At 42.0% G+C, this 18,685-nt stretch overlaps 1 protein-coding gene across 18 annotated transcripts in view, besides 2 other annotated features; it reads right to left on the bottom strand.

Annotated features, from left to right (window-relative positions):
- Positions 1–18,685, bottom strand: part of MTHFD1L (methylenetetrahydrofolate dehydrogenase (NADP+ dependent) 1 like) — a 236,186-nt gene that overhangs the window by 21,895 nt on the left and 195,606 nt on the right. For 2 of the 18 annotated variants that reach the window (XM_011535729.4, XM_047418610.1), the window contains exon 27: positions 1,925–10,958. The exons of 15 other annotated variants lie outside the window; for them this stretch is intronic. In XM_011535729.4, coding sequence (XP_011534031.1) covers positions 10,941–10,958 — 18 coding nt within the window. In that variant the 3' untranslated portion in view covers positions 1,925–10,940. Of the gene's footprint in view, positions 1–1,924; positions 10,959–18,685 lie in introns of those variants that run through there. One more of the 18 variants, NR_146719.2, reaches the window with a different exon arrangement.
- Positions 18,311–18,480: an enhancer, noted in NCBI's record as "experimental_90950 CRE fragment used in MPRA reporter constructs". NCBI's record gives its function as "activates a minimal promoter by MPRAs in K562 erythroleukemia cells, with activity observed for the non-introgressed 6:151382734 or rs77396312 variant allele {active_cell/tissue: K562}" and the evidence as "EXISTENCE:reporter gene assay evidence [ECO:0000049][PMID:34662402]".
- Position 18,395: a transcriptional cis regulatory region, noted in NCBI's record as "Neanderthal adaptively introgressed variant 6:151382734 (GRCh37/hg19 assembly coordinates) or rs77396312 in the experimental_90950 CRE". NCBI's record gives its function as "modulates activity of the experimental_90950 enhancer by MPRAs in K562 erythroleukemia cells {active_cell/tissue: K562}" and the evidence as "EXISTENCE:reporter gene assay evidence [ECO:0000049][PMID:34662402]".

The following is an 18,685-nucleotide window of genomic DNA, read 5'->3' as shown; positions in this document are numbered from 1 at the left end:
ACGTTGGCCAGGCTGGTCTTGAACTCCTGACCTTAGGTGAACCGCCTACCTCGGCTCTCCAAAGTCCTGGGATTACAGGTGTGAGCCACCACGCCTGGCCTAATTTCTTTTTTTTTAATTTAATTTTTACCAAAGTAAATCACGTGCTGGCTTAAGAGATCACACTGCTCTTTAGGGCTTACTATGCAACATGACTGTTCCCATGGCCAGGCGAAGTGGCTCACACCTGTAATCCCAGCACTTTGGGAGGCCGAGGTGGGCAGATCACATGAGGTCGGGAGTTTGAGACCAGCGTGACCAACATGGTGAAACTCCGTCTCTACTAAAAATACAAAATTAGCTGGGCGTGGTGGTGCATGCCTGTAATCCTAGCTACTTGAGAGGCTGAAGCAGGAGAATTGCTTGAATCCGGGGGGCGGAGGTTGCGGTGAGCCGAGATCACGCCATCGCACTCCAGCTGTGAGCCGAGATCATGCCATCGCACTCCAGCCTGGGCAACAAGAGTGAAACTCCATCTCAAAACAAAACAAACAAACAAACAAAAAACAAACAGAAAAACCTGTTCCCTGCCCCCCACTGCCCTGCCCCCAGTGGCATTCCCACTCCTGAAAGGCAGCCACTGTCAACACTCAGTGGTGTCTTTTTGCCTTTCGCTGCTGTCCTGGTCTTGCCGTTCAGATGTTACCCACTGGATTTCTAATATCAACAATGGGGACTTAGCTCCTTCATATCCTACTACCCCTACTCCCCACCCCCTCCAGCTCCCAAATATCGAGCTGTCATGACTTTTGGTTAGATCAGGATTTATCAGAGCTATGTAACCGTTCACAGCAAGGCCATCTGATTTATTGATTACACTCCTGTTCTTCTGCAGCTTGTTTCTGCTGGAGTCTTGTATCTTTGTTGCTCATCTTGCTAGGGCGCTGTCAATCACATACCACCACACTGGCTGAACTGTAAGTCAGCTTTCAGTACGTTCACGTATAGGCTCAGTCTTTCATGGAGCCATCCTCCTGGCACCCTTCATCCTGCAGGCCTACTGAACAAAACACTTAGTGGGCTCTTTCTTGACCATAATCCTGGGGATTCCCTGCACCTCTGCAGTGTGGTAGTTTCCATTCCTGGAGCCACACTGTGGCGGCGACTCCCAGTGAGTCCCTCCCTGAGTGCAGGTGAGGCCTGTGACTTGCTTCTCACCAGCAGAATATGGCACGAGTGACAGTGAAGGGAGGTCACTTCATCTAACAGATTCCAGAGAAAACCCATCCCCCCTGCTGGCTTTCAAGAAATAAGCTGCCATGCTGTGAATGGACGAAGGAGAAGGTCTCATGGCAAAAACCCACATGGCCTCTGGGACCTGGGTGTGGCCTCCAGCTGACAGCCAGCAAAAAGCTGGGCCCTCAGTCCCACAACTTCAAGGAATGGAATTCTGCCAAATGAGCTTTGATGAGGAACCCAGGCCTCAGATGAGACAATTTTCGCAGTCTGAAGCAGAGAACCCAGCTAAGCTGACCCAGAGAAATGGAAGATAATACATGTGAGCTGTTTTAAGCCACTAAATGTGTGCTCATTTGTTATGCAGCAGAAAAAAGAGAAAATTAATATTCTTCTGTGGTTTACTTGCTCATTTACTTGCAATTCTCCTACCTCATCCTCCTGAGTGAGTAGCTAGGACTACAGGCCACCACACCTGGCTAATTTTCTTCTTTTATTTCTTTGTAGACATGGGGTCTCTGTACATTGCCCAGGCTGGGCTCAAGCAATCCTCCTTCCTCTGCTTGCTCATTTGAGTGAAATACTCCTCTAGTGGCTTCTTGAGAAAAAGGGCGCTAGGGGTAGATTTTTCTAAAATGTCTGGCTTCGTCATTATTCTTATCACACTTCATGATGGTTTAGCTGGGTATATTATTTTCCTTGATTTTTTTTTTTTTTTTTTTTTTGAGACAGAGTCTTGCTCTGTCGCCCAGGCTGGAGTGCAGTGGCGCGATCTTGGCTCACTGCAAGCTCCACCTCCTGGGTTCATGCCATTCTCCTGCCTCAGCCTCTCCGGAGTAGCTGGGGCTACAGGCGCCTGCCACCACGCCCGGCTAATTTTTTGTATTTTTAGTAGAGACAGGGTTTCACCGTGGTCTGGATCTCCTGACCTCGTGCTCCGCCCGCCTCGGCCTTCCAAAGTGCTGGGATTACAAGCGTGAGCCACCGCGCCTGGCCATTTTCCTTGAATTTTGAAGATATTGCTCTATTGTAATCTAGCCTCCAGTATTATGGTTTTGTTTTTGTTTTTTGATAACTTTTATTTATTTTTTTCTTTTAAGACACAGTTTCACTCTGCCGCCCAGGCTAGAGTATAGTGGCACGATCTTGGCTCACTGCAACCTCTACCTCCCAAGTTCAAGCAATTCTCATGCCTCAGCTTCCCGAGTAGCTAGGATTACAGATGCGTGCCACCAGCCCAAGGAAAAAACCATCCCCCTTGCTGGCTTTTAAGAAATAAGCTAATTTTTGTACTATTAATAGAGATGGGGTTTCATCAGGTTGACCAGGCTGGTCTTGAATTCCTGACCTCAGGTGATTCACCTGCCTTGGCCTCCCAAAGTGCTGGGATTACAGGCGTGAGCCACTGCACCCAGCCCAGTATTACCGTTGAAAAGTCTGATGCCATTCGGGTTCCAGATTATTTGCATGTTTTGTTTTTTCCCCCTCTGAAAGCTTTTAGTATCCTCTTTTTGACTCTACTGTTCTTTTTACTATTATGATGAAGTGTGTTGGTGTGAGTCTATACATTTATTTTGCTGACCCTTTTGATTTGGGAGTCCTTCAGTTCTAGGAGAGAAAATTTTGGGTGGAAGGCTGAGGATTATTTCTCTGATAATTTCTTCCCTTCTGGTTTCTTCTGTCTTATTGGAATTCCCATTAGTTAGATGTTAGGTCTCCTGGACTGACCCCTCTAACCTTTGAAACTTTTTCCTCATTTTTCTACTTTTCACAACTTTATTTTGGATAAAATTGTATTATTTAAAACTTTTATTGAGGCAAATTACATACAATAAACTGCACATGTCAAAGTGTAAAGCTTACTGTATATTATTACAAAAAAGCTGCTACGAACATTCATGCACGGATCTTTACATGGACATATACTGCATTTCTCTTGGGTAAATATTTAGAAAGAGAATGTCTTGACTATATGGCAGGTGCACTTTAACTTTTTAAGAAACGACCCCAAATTGATTTCCAAGGGGGTGGTACTGTTATATATTCCTACCAGCAGTGTATGAGGGTTCCAGTTGTTCCACATCCTTGCCAACATTTGGTATGGTCAGTCTTTTTTTTTTTTTTTTTTAGACAGAGTATCACTCTGTCACCCAGGCTGGAGTGCAGTGGTACAATCTTGGCTCACTGCAACCTCTGTTTCCTGGGTTCAAGCAATTCTCGGGCCTCAGCCTCCCGAGTAGCTGGGATTACAGGCGTGTGCCACCATGCCCAATTAATTTTTTGTATTTTTAGTAGAGTTGGGGTTTCCCCATGTTGCCCAGGCTGGTCTTGAACTCCTGACCTCAAGTGATCCACCTGCCTCAGCCTCCCAAAGTGATGCAATTACAGCTGTGAGCCACCGTGCCCAGCCCAATCTTTTTTTTCTTTGGGACAGGGTCTTGCTCTGTCTTGCAGGCTGGAGTGCAGTGGTGCAATCACAGCTTACTACAGCCTCAACCTGGGCTCAAGCAATCCTCCCACCTCATCCTCCCAAGTGAGCAGCTAGGCCACCACAACTGGCTAATTTTCTTTTTCTTTTATTGTAGACACAGAGTCTCCTCCCTATGTTGTCCAGGCTGGGCTCAAGCCATCCTCCTGCCTCTGCCTGTCAAAGTGTTGGGATTACAGGCATGAGCTACTGTGCTTAGCTGGTCAATCTTTTTAATTGTAGACATTCTAATAGCTATGCAGCGGTATTCACTGTGGTTTAAATTTCCATTTCCCTAATGCCTGTGATGGTAAGCATATTTTCATGTATTTTCTTGGGTGAAATATGTGTTCAAATCTTTCAGTCATCTTTTAAAAGCGTTATTTTCTCATTGAGTTTTGAGTTTTAGTATTCCATATACAAATCCTTATATCAAATAGATAACTTGCAAATATTTTCTCCCACTCTGTAGCTTATTTCCAAATATTTGGAGTGTTTCCAGATGTCTTTCAGTGTTGATTTCTAATTTAATCCCACTGTGGTTAGAGAACATATTTTGTATGATTTGAGCCCTTACAAATTTATTAAGACATTTTGTGACTCAGAATATGGTCTATTTTGGCAAATGTTCTGTGTACGTTTGAAAAGAATGCGTAATCTGCTGTTGTTGGGTGGAGTCAAGCTGAATTGTAGCATTGTTTAAGTCTTCTAAATCCTTATTGATTTTTACTCTACTTGTTCTGAGAGGGGTTTAAAAAATTCTGACTATATTTGTGGATTTTCTATTTTTCCCTATAATTTTATCTTTTTTTTTCTTCATTTATGTTGATGCTCTGTTATTATATGCTTAAACACTTAGAACTGCTATGTCCTGTTCGTGAAACGGCCCCTTTGTCATAATGAAACAAGCCTCTTTTATATCCTTGGTACTACTCTTTGCTCTAGTTCTACTTTGATATTGATATACCAATTCAATTTTCTTTTGATTAGTATTAGCGCTTTTCCATCCTTTTACCTTTAACCTACTTATGTCTTTAGATTTAAAAAGGGTTTCTTGTTGACAGTAATAGTCGGCTCTTGCATTTTTAGCCAATCTGACATTCTTTGCATTTTAATTAGTGTATTTAGGACATTTATATCTAGTGTGATTATCGATATAGTTGAGTTTAAATCTACTATTTTGCTATTCTTTTTCTTATTGTCCTATCTGTTCTTTGTTCCTTTTTCCCTTTTCTGCTTCCTCTGGATTATTTTTAATGATTTCATTTTATCTACTTTGTAGATAACTATATATTAACTTTGTTAACTATAACAAGGTTACAACTCTTTAACTATAACGTTGTTGAATTACTGAAATGGTTACCTTGCATTTACAGCACAGTCCTGTGTTGCTTAAAGACGGGTACATTCTGAGAAACACATCACTGGGTGATTTTGTCACTGTGTGAACATCATACAGTGTACTTGCAAACCTAGATGGTATAGCCTCCTACACACCTTGGCTGTATGGTACAGCCTACTGCACCAGGGCTACAAGCCTGCATAGCATGTTATTGTTCTGAATACAGTAGGTGGCTGTAACAGAATGGTAAGTATTTATACATGCAAACATACAATAGAAAGGGTACAGTAAAAAATACAGTATTATAATCTGATGGAACTGCTGTTGTATACACGGTTTGTTTTTGACCAAAACGTTATTATACAGCACATGACTACATACACATTTCACTTTGCACAGTCTACCTTCACATATAATTATACTACCACACCACATATAGTTATACTACTTCACATATAGCCTAAGAATTTTACAAAAGCATGCTTCTATTTCTCTCCTCTTAGACTTTGTGTTATTGTTGCCATATATTTAGCTTCTAAATGTTTTTAACGCTATACTACATTTTTATTATTTTTGCTTTATGCAGTAATTACTGTATACAGTAATAGCTTTTAAGATAAACAGTAAGAACAAGTCTTTCTATCCATGCGGTTACTATTTTTGGTGTTCTTCATTCCTTTGGGTAGATTCAGGTTTCCAACTGGTATCATTTTCTTTCTGCCAGCAGGAATTTCTGTAACACTTTTTGTACTTCAGGTTAGCTAGTGATGAATTTTTTCAGCTTTTACGTGTCTAAAATAGTCTTTATTTCAGCTTTGTTTTGGAAAGATATTTTAACCAGGTAAAAAACTCTAGGCTGTGAATTTTCTTTCACTGCTTTAAAAATATTGACCTACCACCTTCTAGTTTGTGTTGTTTCCAACAAGAAATCATCAGCCAATTTATCTTTGTTCCTCTCTACATAATGTGTCATTTATCCTCTCTTTTTAAAATGTTCTCATTTTTTTGAATGTATGAGTTTATAGTTTCTATCAAATTTGAAAACGTTTTGCCCATTATTTCTTCAAATATTTTTCAGTTCCTTTTTTCCACTCCTGTGGGACTCTAGTTTTACATATTTTTGGCTACTTAAAATGATCCCAAAGCTCAATGTTGCTCTCTTGCTTCTTTTCAGCCTTTTTCTGTTTCATTTCAGATAGTTTCTACTGCATGTCTTTAAGTTAACTAGGCTTTTCTTTTGCAATGTCTAATCTGCTATTAATTAAGAGTTTTTTTTTTTTATCATTTCAGGCACTGCAGTTTTCATCTCTTCAGTTTGATTTATATCTTTGTTATATCTTCTTTGTCTCTATTTAACATGTTAAATCCTTCTTCTAGTTTCTTAAACATGCAAACTACAGTCACAACAACTACTTTAATGTCCGTGTCTATGAATTCTATCATCTGTATAATGGGTTAGTTTTGATTGACTTTTCTCATTTTAGGTGGTATTTTCCTAGATCTTTGCATGCCTGCTAATTTTGGATTGGATGTCTGGCAAGACCCTTCTTAGTATTCTAACCAGTGCCCCTGCATTCAGAGGTTTTCACTCTAGCTGTTGGCAACAGGCACCTCTTCTTGGCTACTGTGTGGGAGGCAGGCACTGTTCCCTCATTCTTTCGGGTGATCCTTTCTCTGGTGATGGGTAGTTTTCTCACAACCACACTTTGATCAGTACGCACTTGCATGCTCAAGGAGGACTCTGTACATCCGCAAAGCTCTCTCTATGCAGTTCTCTCCTCTCCGGTCCTCCACCTCTGCAAACTAGCTGCCTTGGTTTCCCTTGATGTATCCCCAGCTCTGTCTTCAACTCAGGGAGACAGTTGAGCTCTTTCTCCTGGGTTCCTTCTCTCTACACAGTAGCCAGGAAACTTTTTCTAGATAAGGACAATTATAGGACTCACTTTGTTTCCAATTTCTCAGGGGCCACTGTTTTTTGCTGCCTGGTGTCCAATGCCCTGAGTGATGTATTTTTCATATACTTTGTCCAGTTTTTTACTTGTTTCAAGTGGGAGGGTAAAGTAAGACCCTGTTACTCTACCTTCTCTAGAATGCAGTGTGCTTTTAACATAACATTATGTATCAATGGGTGAGATAATATTGTGTACTCTTTTTATTTTTTGAGACAGAGTATCACTCTGTCATCCAGGCTGGAGTGCAGAGGAGGCACAATCTCCGCTCACTGCAACCTCTGTTCACTGCAACCTCTGTCCCCTGGGTTCAAGTGATCCTCCTGCCTCAGCCTCCCAAGTTGCTGGGATTACAGATGTGCGCCACCATGCCTGGCTAATTTTTGTATTTTTGGTAGAGACGGGGTTTCAACATGTTGCTCATGCTGATGTCGAACTCCTGGGCTCAAGTGATCTGCCGCCTCAGCCTCCCAAAGTACTGGGATTCCAGGTGTGAGCCACCACACCTGGCCATATTGTGTACTTTTAACATAACATTATGTATCAATGGGTGAGATAATATTGTCTTATAAATATAAGTGTGAATTTTATAGACTATGAAGATTTTTTAGGTTATTATTCAACTGCATCTAATTAAAGTGTAACATTATGAGAAGCATTATATGATTACATATAATGACAGAATTCGATTTTCAGCTAAGTAGTTCAAGAATAAAATTAATAAAAAGTCCAATGACACAGTAAAATGAGCTTAAAATGAAATTGCTTTCTAAACCTAGAGCCAAAATTTCATTCATTTACTAATGTGTAAAATAAATACAGGAAAAATAATTTTTTTTTGGTATAAAAAGGTTTGCAGTCTTTAAAAGGGGCCATAAAAAATTCTGTACTAGCCGGGCGTGGTGGCTCACGCCTGTACTCTCAGCACTTTGGGAGGCTGAGGTGAGTCAGGAGTTCGAGACTAGCCTGGCCAACATGGGGAAACCCCATCTCTACTAAAAATACAAAAATTAACCAAATGTGGTGGTGGGTGCCTGGAATCCCAGCTACTCAGGAGGCCGAGGCAGGAGAACTGCTTGAACCCAGGAGGCAGAGGTTGCAGTGAGCCAAGATCGCGCCATTGCACTCCAGTCTGGATGATCGGAGTGAGACTCCAACTCAAAAAAAAAAAAAAAAAAAAAATCTGTACTTACAATGTTGCTTAATATTTAGAATGTTTTAAAAGAAAGTTATCTGTAGAAAAGAAGAGGAAATAAGGCAACACACATTTTCTGTTTAGGTTTATAAATTGAGCAACAACAATAATAATAAAAAAAGAGGATTCTTTAGTTACTGCTCCGTTATCTGCCTTTTCCAAACAAAACAAGTCCGTTTTCTCTGAACTTGTAATTTTTGGGCAAGTCAGCTCCTTATTTCCTTGCTTTGCTACTGACACGAGTGGCCAGAACCATGCGAAGTTCAACGTGCTTCCCTGGGCTGCCCTCTCGGTGACCTTGGTGAATGAAAGCTTCCTATGATGGCACATTCTCAAATAAGTATGTGGTTCAGGCATCTGACAAGCGTCTGAGCAATTCTCTTGCATGTTGAAGTAGAGCAGTACGATCAGCCCATTAGTGATTTTTCTCACAGAAATCAAGCCAATAAAGCCTCATTTTAAAAGTACATAAAACACAAATTATCAATGTAGATGCACTGTATCACAGAAAACAGTTCTGCAGCACCCCTTATCTCCCGGCTTATTAGGGTGGTATCCAATTTTGACCAAAATTTCACTTTCACTTCTTCTCCCTCTTTCTATCTCCATCACCCAACACAACCATTGTATCAATTGCGATGTAATTTTCTATAAACCTAAAGTAAGTCTGGAGCTTACACAAAAGTTTAACCTCAAGCACATACACACCTACTAGACTTGGTAGGATTATAAACAACATTTATTTCATTTGTGGCTGTATTTTAGAGTTGACGCAAAGTGATCTGGAACTGGGCTTAGAATTTTCTAAATAAACGGACTGGCTGGCAGCTTCCAAACCAGTTGCTTCTCCTCCCTGTAGGCAGAGGGGATTTCCACAGGGAAAGAAAGAGGGTTGGCTATCTGCTTTAGGGAATGGCATGCCTGGCCCTTTTTATCTCATTCCCACCAGTACTTGGGGATACTGGGAAAATAGTTCCCAATGAGGAAAAGGTTAGGGATTCCTGAGATGGTTTGGTATGTTTATTTTATTACCCAAACATTACACAAAACTCTTTTCTTCTAGATCAGGGGTTGGCAAACTAAGACCCACACAGCAAATCTGGCCAGCTGCTTATTTTTATGAAGTTTTAGTGGAACACAGCCACAGGGTCATTCATTTATATATTGAGTACGGCTGGTTTTGTGCTATAACGGCAGAGTTGAGTAGTTAGGACAGAGACCATGTGGTCTGCAAGTCCTGATATATCTACTATCTAGTCCATTAAGGAAATGTTTGTTGACCTCTGTTCTCAAAGACAATGTCACAAAAGGGTTTACTAAAAACCAAAAGACTTGAAGAACTTGAGAAGAATGTGGGTATTTTACAACTTTCCCTAAAGACAACAAAAACTAAACAGTAAAGTGCAGATGGCAACTGAAAGAGAGAAGCTGGTTGGTGATGGTGTCCGAATCTAGATTAGAGGTTCAACAATATACACATTTTCCAAAAGTGAAAGGTCAGATATCAACCTGGTGTGGTTTCAGCATTTTTGGGGACTTCTAAGGGAGAGTAACTCTCAGGTTGAAAGACATTTAAACATAAATTATAGTACTTTATAGTATTTTAACTTAGAATCTACTTTGTGGATTATCATTTGCCAAACATAATTTATAAAACCTAATCTGCAGATCCTAAATACAAGCTATATGTGGAATCTAATTCTCCATGATCAGAAAAACACCCGAGTTCTTGGAGACGTGATGTATCTTGCACCAAAGGGCATGCATAACTGTGTGGTCCACTTGGGCCAGAGGTGGTATGTGTCAATTGAAACTTAAAAAAAAGACACCTTGCCGATGAAGAGTCAACACAGGTCCTCTGCGTCAACATAAAAGCAGCATGTACTCATCGACATCTAAGAGGTAGTGTTTTACTGTGTGCTGAAATAGAAAAACATAGCTTCTATGGCATGTTCGGTGTCTCACTGGGACTCGTTGAGGGATCTATAATCCGAGAACTCTGAAATGGTGGCTGGGGTGATCGAGCACTTGGACCTGGCCCTCTGTCACATGGAGTTGTCTGGCAAGTAGCCCCAAAGGCACCGCTGAGCTCTGAGATGAGGGTCACCAGAGAGATCCCACCAGGGAAGTGATCCCTGGACAGGCTGGTAAACAGAACCAAGGACACCTGATGCTAACTACAGAAACACCGAGGCAAGCTGGAAGAAGGAGCGTTGCCACTGCAACATGGTTTAGCTAATAATGCAATGGGAGCACTTTCTTCTGATGAAAGTCAAAGTTGTATATCTAGCAGGGAGGACTGCAATAAGAAAATAACACAGTCAGAAATTTGGTCAAGGGTAAGGAGGGGTGAAGAGAAAAAGCACAGAGAATCCACTGTATGGATTCTGTATTTAGTTTTTGCCATGATCAGCCAGCATCCAGAGGCCCTCTGGCCCACTGAGCTATCAAGGGGGTACCTCACTTGTTTTTGACAATACCTTACCCTTCCTGGCTGTACAACCTGGAGGATTAGGGAGGTCCCTATGACAGAGAGAGGGAGGGAGAGAGAGAGAGAGAGAGAGAGAGAGAGAAAGAGAGAGAAGATAGTTTTGGGCCTTATGACTGTGGTCACTTTGGAATGAAGCCGTGGCTAAAAAGTCATGAGGCTGAGGTGGCTGTACTTATGATATAAAATAAGTACTCACTGCATTCCATCCCTCTTGCCCCCTGGACCTGCCTTGCCCAGGATCCCAGTCTGAATTCCTCATCTTTCACCAAGACTGCTCCAAATTATGATTGATGTGAGGACTGCAATAAAACGATACCATAGTTTTAGCTCTTTCCAAAAATGTAATGAAACTGGGCAAACTGGCACTAGTCTACAGAAAAGGAATCAAAGCGGGATCCCATGATCAATGCTTCCAAGAAATTGAGCCAAGTTCAAAAGAAATCAGGCTGTGCACGAGTACTGCTACTATTTTTAGGGATATTGATGAGTCCTCCAATGAATGTGTCATTGCTGACCGTGCTGAGTGTCAGAAAAATGGTAAAGTTCGTGCCTACTGAAGAAAGCTCTGAAGTTTACTAGCTTTCAAATACTCTCAAGTTTAACTGTCTTAAGTTGTAAGTAAATGATTTTTAAGTTAAAAAATTTATTCAATTCATATCAAGAAGTTTCTATTAAATTAGCTTTTCAAAAGTAATTGGGCTATGTATACTCAGAATATTTACAGAGTCTCCTGAGATTAGTGGATGGAAACATTAAGAGCCTGAAAAAGTACTGAAAAAAAGAACAAAGGTCAGAGAGTGGGCTGGAAAGCATACGGATGTTGTAATTGAACCCTCGGTTCAAGCAGAATCTGACCCGCAGCAGCTACTTGGAGCTATGAGGAAATGCCTCAGCATTTGAAAGACCTGGCAGCGTTATTAACTATGTCCAAGAACAAAAAGTGAAAAACGATACTGGAAAATCCTGAGGTGTCTCCATCTCCATCACTGATAAGATCTTGGCTCAAGTTCCTCTTAAAGGGTCACCAGACGAAAGGCTTCAGGCCCGCAAAATCACAATGTGGCTGTTCCACTGCAGTGTGGTCAGGCGGGCAGGCCCTTGTTGCTACAGATAGGACCAGCAGAAACTTTTCTTTGTCATCTTTAGACTGAATCAAAACACACTGCTGTGATCAGATCTGCATTCTAGCTGTTACTTTGGTTTGTTTACCCAGAAGTCTCCTCCATTACCAATGGCGTGAATCAGAATTGTGTTATTTGTTTGGCATTACTCATCTCTTTCATGTACCAGTGCCCGAGAATAAATCTGTTATTCAAGTCCTCTTGCTTCTCCCTTAGAGCCTCACTAAAAATCACAAATGTGCAATCAAGAATAACCACCCTCTGTTTACATGCACCAGAAGTCCACATGCATTACGTGAGACACATCAGAGTTCATTTGGCTGGTGTCCCCATGACATCGGCAGGGGAAGAGAATAAGAATTAATGGTAACGCCAAGCTGGCAGGCTGCCACCATGTTTCAATTCCTGGAGAAGAATGAACCATACAGCGAGGCAGGGTCACTGGGGTGGGGAAATTTCACTCTCTGGGTTGAGGAGATATGCATTTGTATACATGGTTACCCATCTACATTTATGTTTAACACACAACATTATTTCTGGCACCCATTACTCATGAACGTAACACAAATTGTGATTTAAAAAAGTGATTAGCTGGCCACAGTGGCTCACACCTGTAATCCCAGCACTTTGGGAGGCCAAGGCGGGTGGATCACTTGAGGCCAGGAGTTCGAGACCAGCCTGGCCAACGTGGTGAAGCCTGGTCTCTACTAAAAATACAAAAATTAGCTGGGTGTGGTGGCGCACACCTGGAATCCCAGCTACACAGGAGGCTGAGGCACGATAATTGCTTGGACGTAGGAGGTCGAAGCTGCAGTGAGCTGAGATTGCACCACTGTACACCAGCCTGGGTGACAGAGCCAGACTCTGTCTCAATAAATAAATAAATAAATAAAAAGATTAAATAACCTGTGATGTTTTTAACTGGTCAAACCAATATAACCTGATTTTATAATAATCAAATCGATGGCCGGGAGCGGTGGCTCATGAGGTCAGGAGTTCAAGACCAGCCTGACCAACGTGGTGAAACCCCGTTTCTACTAAAAATGCAAAAATTAGCCAGGCGTGGTGGTGCACGCCTATAATCCCAGCTACTCAGGAGGCTGAGGCAGGAGAATCCCTTAAACCCAGGAGGCAGAGGTTGCAGTGAGCCATGATTGCAACACTGCACTCCAGCCTGGGCTACAGAGCAAGACTCTGTCTCAAAAAAAAAAAAAAAATCAAATTGATACATTTTTAACACTTACTAATATGGACTACAGAGACCTACAAACTGCTTTAATGAGCTGAATATGAAAGGAAAATGATGAGTAACTCTAGGAATTTTGTGGGAATAAGATGAGAGCTTATCCTTGACAGGACCCAGGTTGGGAGTTCCTAAAGCATCAGCGAAAGGATGGCTCTTTGGAAGAACCAACAGTAGACTAAAGGACACTTTTTTTTTTTTTTTTGAGACGGAGTTTTGCTCTATTGCCCAGGCTGGAATGCAATGGCGCAATCTTGGCTCACTGCAAGCTCCGCCTCCCGGGTTCACGCCATTCTCCTGCCTCAGCCTCCTGAGTAGCTGGGACAACAGGCGCCTGCCACCACGCCTGGCTAATTTTTTGTATGTTTAGTAGAGACGGGGTTTCACTGTATCAGCCAGGATGGTCTCAATCTCCTGACCTCGTGATCCACCCGCCTCGGCCTCCCAAAGTGCTGGGATTACAGGTGTGAGCCACCGCACCCGGCTAAAGGACACTTTTGCCATGGTTCTTTTTTTTTTTTTTTTTTTTTTTGAGATGGAGTCTTGCTCTGTCGCCCAGGCTGGAGTGCAGTGGCATGATCTCAGCTCACTTGCAAGCTCTGCCTCCTGGGTTCACACCATTCCCCTGCCTCAGCCTCCTGAATAGCTGGGACTACAGGTGCCTGCCACCACGCCAGGCTGATTTTTTTGTATTTTTAGTAGAGACAGGGTTTCACCATGTTAGCTAGGATGGTCTCAATCTTCTGACCTCATGATCCGCCCGCCTCGGCCTCCCAAAGTGCTGGGATTACAGGCGTAAGCCACCGCGCCCAGCCTCCTGTGGTTCTTTTAAAGCCAAAACATTGTTTTTAAAAGCCCAAAGCTATTCAGTGTTTGTGAGTATGGAGATCACTTTTGATGAAGAAAATTAATTCCCATGGGGGCAGAATCCTATCAACATGAAAATATATAATGAGGAGCTACTATAAATTTAGTTATGCTTCTCAATAACTTTGTATTTCATGGACTCCAACATACACCTGCAATTAAAGGAATTGAAGAGTAGTCTTTGCCTGTGTGAGACATTTAGTTCTTCTACTCTACAGGCCAGGTATGGTCTGAGCAACAGCCCTTGGGGTCTGGCCTGATCAGCACTCCTATCCTGGTCTTGTGGTCATGGCGGCCACCGCATGTGGTGCAGGTGGGTCTGCTCCTGCCCTATGCACAGGATGGGCATGTATGGCCACACCCTGGCTGGGCACAGTGGTGGATTAGGACAGGGCACATGAGGCCAACAGAGCCTGGCAGGGGATTCCTGAATACTGCTGTGCAGATGGTGGGAGAGAAAAGATTCCTCTTCCTCTGGATAGGGAGTTTTGAGTATGAAGCAGATCACACTGTGAACAGAAGGCATCACTCCCAGTGGGGCAGGGCTGAGGAACGGAGCACAAATGCCAGAAGGCTGGATCCAGCTGTGGCTAAGGCCAGATCTAGCCTAGCACTTTTCTGTTATCTGGGTCAATCCATCCCCTCTTTCTGAATAAGCTCGAGTTGAGTTTCTCTTACTTGCAGCCACAACCACAAGAGAGTTCTGACAAACACAGCGAGCATAAGGCCCCATTGTCTGGAGAAGAGGAAGAGGCCAGGGGAGCAGTGAGAGGGAGCCTGGGGCAGGCAAGTCAAGATGGCGTGAGTCCCTGCTAGGCCTTCCCTCTGGATAGGAAAGATGGTCAGCACGGCTATGCTCACCCACTCACCTGAAAAATGCCCCCTTTGCTAACATGCCCCTAGCTGTCAGACTGGAGTGGCATGCCAGATACTCCTAAATTAAACGCCATCACCAGGCATAAAACTACAGAGATGTGCAGAAGGTCACTTAAGAATAGTGGCCGGGCATGGTGGCTCACACCTGTAATCCCAGCACTTTGGGAGTCCAAGGCGGGTGGATCACCTGAGGTCAAGGGTTCGAGACCAGTCTGGCCAACATGGTGAAACCTCATCTCTACTAAAAATACAAGCAAATTAGCTGGGCGTAGTGGCACGCCTGTAATCCCAGCTACTTGGGGAGGCTGAGGCAGGAGAATCACTTGAACCCAGGAGGTGGAGGTTGCAGTGATCCAAGATCACACCACTGCACTCCAGCCTGGGTGACAGAGGGAGACTCCATCTCAAAACAAAAAAACAAAAAAACAAAAAAAAAACAAAAAAAGAATAGTAACACATTTTAAGATTAGCAAACACTTGCTACCTTGAAAAGTTATGAGCTATGAGTTGGTTTAATATTTTAAGAGTTTTTTGGGAACAATAGTGAATATTAAACCAACCTTCAGTAAGTTGTGGGACAATTATTTCTAACAAGTTAAAAATAATTTAACACTGGCTGGGCACGGCGGCTCATGCCTATAATTCCAGCACTTTGGGAGGCCGAGGCAGGCGGATCACAAGGTCAGGAGTTCAAGAACAGCCTGGCCAAGATGGTAAAACCCTGTCTCTACTAAAAATACAAAACATTAGCCGGATGCAGTGGCAGGCACCTGTAATCCCAGATACTCGGGAGGCTGAGGCAGGAGAATCACTCGAATCCGGGGGGGCGGAGGTTGCAATGAGCCAAGATCACACCACTGTACTCCAGCCTGGGCGACAGAGTGACTCCATCTCAAATAATAATAATAATAATAATTTAACACTTCAAGAATATTTATCAGGACTTAAAAATGGCATAAAAGCAAAACATTTCAGATTTATGACATACGTAGTACTTTTTTTGGAAGCAAGCTCTATAAGTGAAATCAGAGATTATAAAGAGACAACTCTTCAAATTGACTTTTTGCCAAGTATTGGCCGATTTTCATTTAAAGTTCATTGATTCTCCAGAACTTTAAAATAGCATATTTTAAAAGACAATTTGATTTTACATTTTGAGAAGCTCTCAATCTGTGAGTTCATCCAGGAGTGGCCTGGTCCCAGTAGAAAGATTCATGACAAAGATACACTGAATGTCCTTTAAAATTCTAAGTAGCATGTGCTGAAAATAAGCACTTCCAGAAATGCTCATAACTTCCTGCAGCAACTATAATATTATACTCTGCTTTATTCAAATCTGAAAAAAAAAAACCCAAAACACAAATTCATGTCTTTGATTTTAAAGGTATATTTTCAAATATTTCATTAACTTCCAACATGAGGCCAGTTACTTCTTCCTATCCCATTCTTGACATTTGGATGTTTAATTATTTAATTCTTACATTCCCTTAACAGTCTAAAATACATTTGCATAAGTTTGCAACAGTATCAGATGGAAGGCTTCATGAATTTGTCAATATTATTTTTGGCTAGCTCAATGGAAAAGAAACATGCTATGCTAGGCTAATAGCATAAAATTTTGAACAGGGAAATAAGCAAACCGCCCTTACATCTGCATAAGACACATTTGTTGGTAAAGTTGAAAAGAAAGATGGGCGTTTAACTAGATTACTCATCATACAAAATATTCAGCCTTTTCCCTGTGCTATGCTGCACAATGTCAATTAATCATGTTTGAAAGCTGAAAGAACAAAGACCATTTAGATGACAAACGAGGCAATAAATGAAGCTGAGATAGGAATAAAGATTCAAGAGGGAAAAGTTTTGTTTCTTTTAATATATATAGAGAGAGAGACTACACAAATGACCTGTAACTTGTTTTAAAATTTACAGTCTACCATTAAGTTTTACTTGACACCTACTTGATGATATCCTCCAAGACAACTTAGAATATTGCAATATTATTATGGGTAGGATGTGTGACTGTAGAAAAAACAGCCAGCAAACATGTAAATGTATCCAATCTAGTCCTAAAAAGGCTGGAGTGAGCATCAAGGAAAGTCAGTTCTTTAGGCATCCAAATTAACACCAAAGACCAAAGCCAAATCACATGTGCTGAGCGAAGTGGATCTCTTTTCTTTAATTTTTTTTTTTATTGTACTTTAAGTTCTAGGGTACATGCGCACAAGGTGCAGGTTTGTTACATATGTATACATGTGCCATGTTGGTGTGCTGCACCCATTAACTCGACATTTACATTAGGTATATCTCCTAATGCTATCCCTCCCCCCTCCTCCCACCCCACAACAGGGTGAAGTGGATATCTTAAAGAGCAACAGCTGTATATATATATATATATGGCTGTCTTGTATCCTTCTATCCAAGTTAAAGGCCATCCAAGAATGAAATCCAAAACTGGAGAAATGTGTAGCAGCAACTTCATTTTACAGTTTGCAGGTTTCACTTTATCTTTTACCAGAGCTTCAAGCAAATAATAAACTTGTTTTGAGTTTGATTTATTTTCATTTCCCATATCCAAAGGGTTACTCTGCCTACTCCTGCCCCCAACACAGTCCTAATATATAAGATGTGTTCTTCATCTATCTCTTTCTTGGCTCTAGAATATAAGTAACTTGAGGGCAAAGACTTTGTCCCATTTATCTTTTTATTCCTAGTGGCAAACAGAGTGCCTGTTAACATAAAAATCTGTTAAACAGACACAAGAGCAAAGAGGAGCAAAAGGTCTTTTTTTTTGAGATGGAGTCTCTGTTCTCCAGGCTGGAGTGCAGTGGCGCGATCTTGGCTCACTGCAAGCTCTGCCCCCCGGATTCACGCCATTCTCCTACCTCAGCCTCCCGAGTAGCTGGGACTACAGGTGCACGCCACCAAGCCTGGCTAATTTTTTTTGTATTTTTAGTAGAGACGGGGTTTCATCGTATTAGCTAGAATGGTCTCGATCTCCTGACCTCGTGATCCGCTCGCCTCGGCCTTCCAAAGTGCTGGGATTACAGGCGTGAGCCACCGCACCCGGCCTTGGAGAGAAAGGTCTTAATGATTCACTGTTCTTTGTAAATCAAGGTGGACTGAACATGAACAGTTGACTTAGAGGCTGCTTAGAAATTCCTTCCAGGTAGAGGCCTTGATGTGATCAGCTCTCCTTTTGAGGGTCTGAGGACCAGGATCTTTGGGAAATAAGTTGTATTAACCAAACTTACAAGGGCCTGATTTATAACCTAAATGCCATTTTGTTCTTTTATGAACAATGCCTGACTTTGTCATTTTGTGAGGCAGTCTGGTATGATGGAAGGAGTAACAGACTTGAAATAGAAAAATGTGCAACCAAGCCACATCGCTGGGGACTCAGTTTTCTCATTTTTATAATGTGAAGAACTAGATGGTCTCTATGGTGGTTTAAAGGAATACAGGGTTAGACTTTCTCTCTAGAAGACCTGGTTTTAATGACCCTTTGAGGGGCTAATGACTCCAGAAACTTTCATTGATAGCACAGATGTCTCCAGTGAACCTCAGACTCAATACGGAACTGTGCAGTGGACATCTTCACTGTAAATTACAACAAATGCTTCAGATCCAACATGTTAGTAACCAAATCCACTACTGTGTAGGAAAGAAATAATGTAGCAGGCCTGAGTCTGAGAACTTGGATTGTGGGAGGGTTTCAACTATCCTCTAACTGACAAGAGGGGCTCACTGTGCCTAAATTTCACAAACAAAATGGTCTATGCTGAACATTTGCTTTTGTTCTGAGAGACTGAAATTTGGTACGTGACCATTACCCAATAAAAACCTTGGGGACTGAGTCTCTAATGAGCCTCTTCTGCAGACAATATTTCAGGTGTCGTCATAGTTCAATGCTGGAGGA

Source organism: Homo sapiens, chromosome 6, assembly GCF_000001405.40.
Source record: "Homo sapiens chromosome 6, GRCh38.p14 Primary Assembly".
NCBI classification, from domain to species: Eukaryota; Metazoa; Chordata; class Mammalia; order Primates; family Hominidae; genus Homo; species Homo sapiens.
Note: the sequence above shows the minus strand (reverse complement) of the source record. Positions and strands in the feature narration are given on the sequence as shown.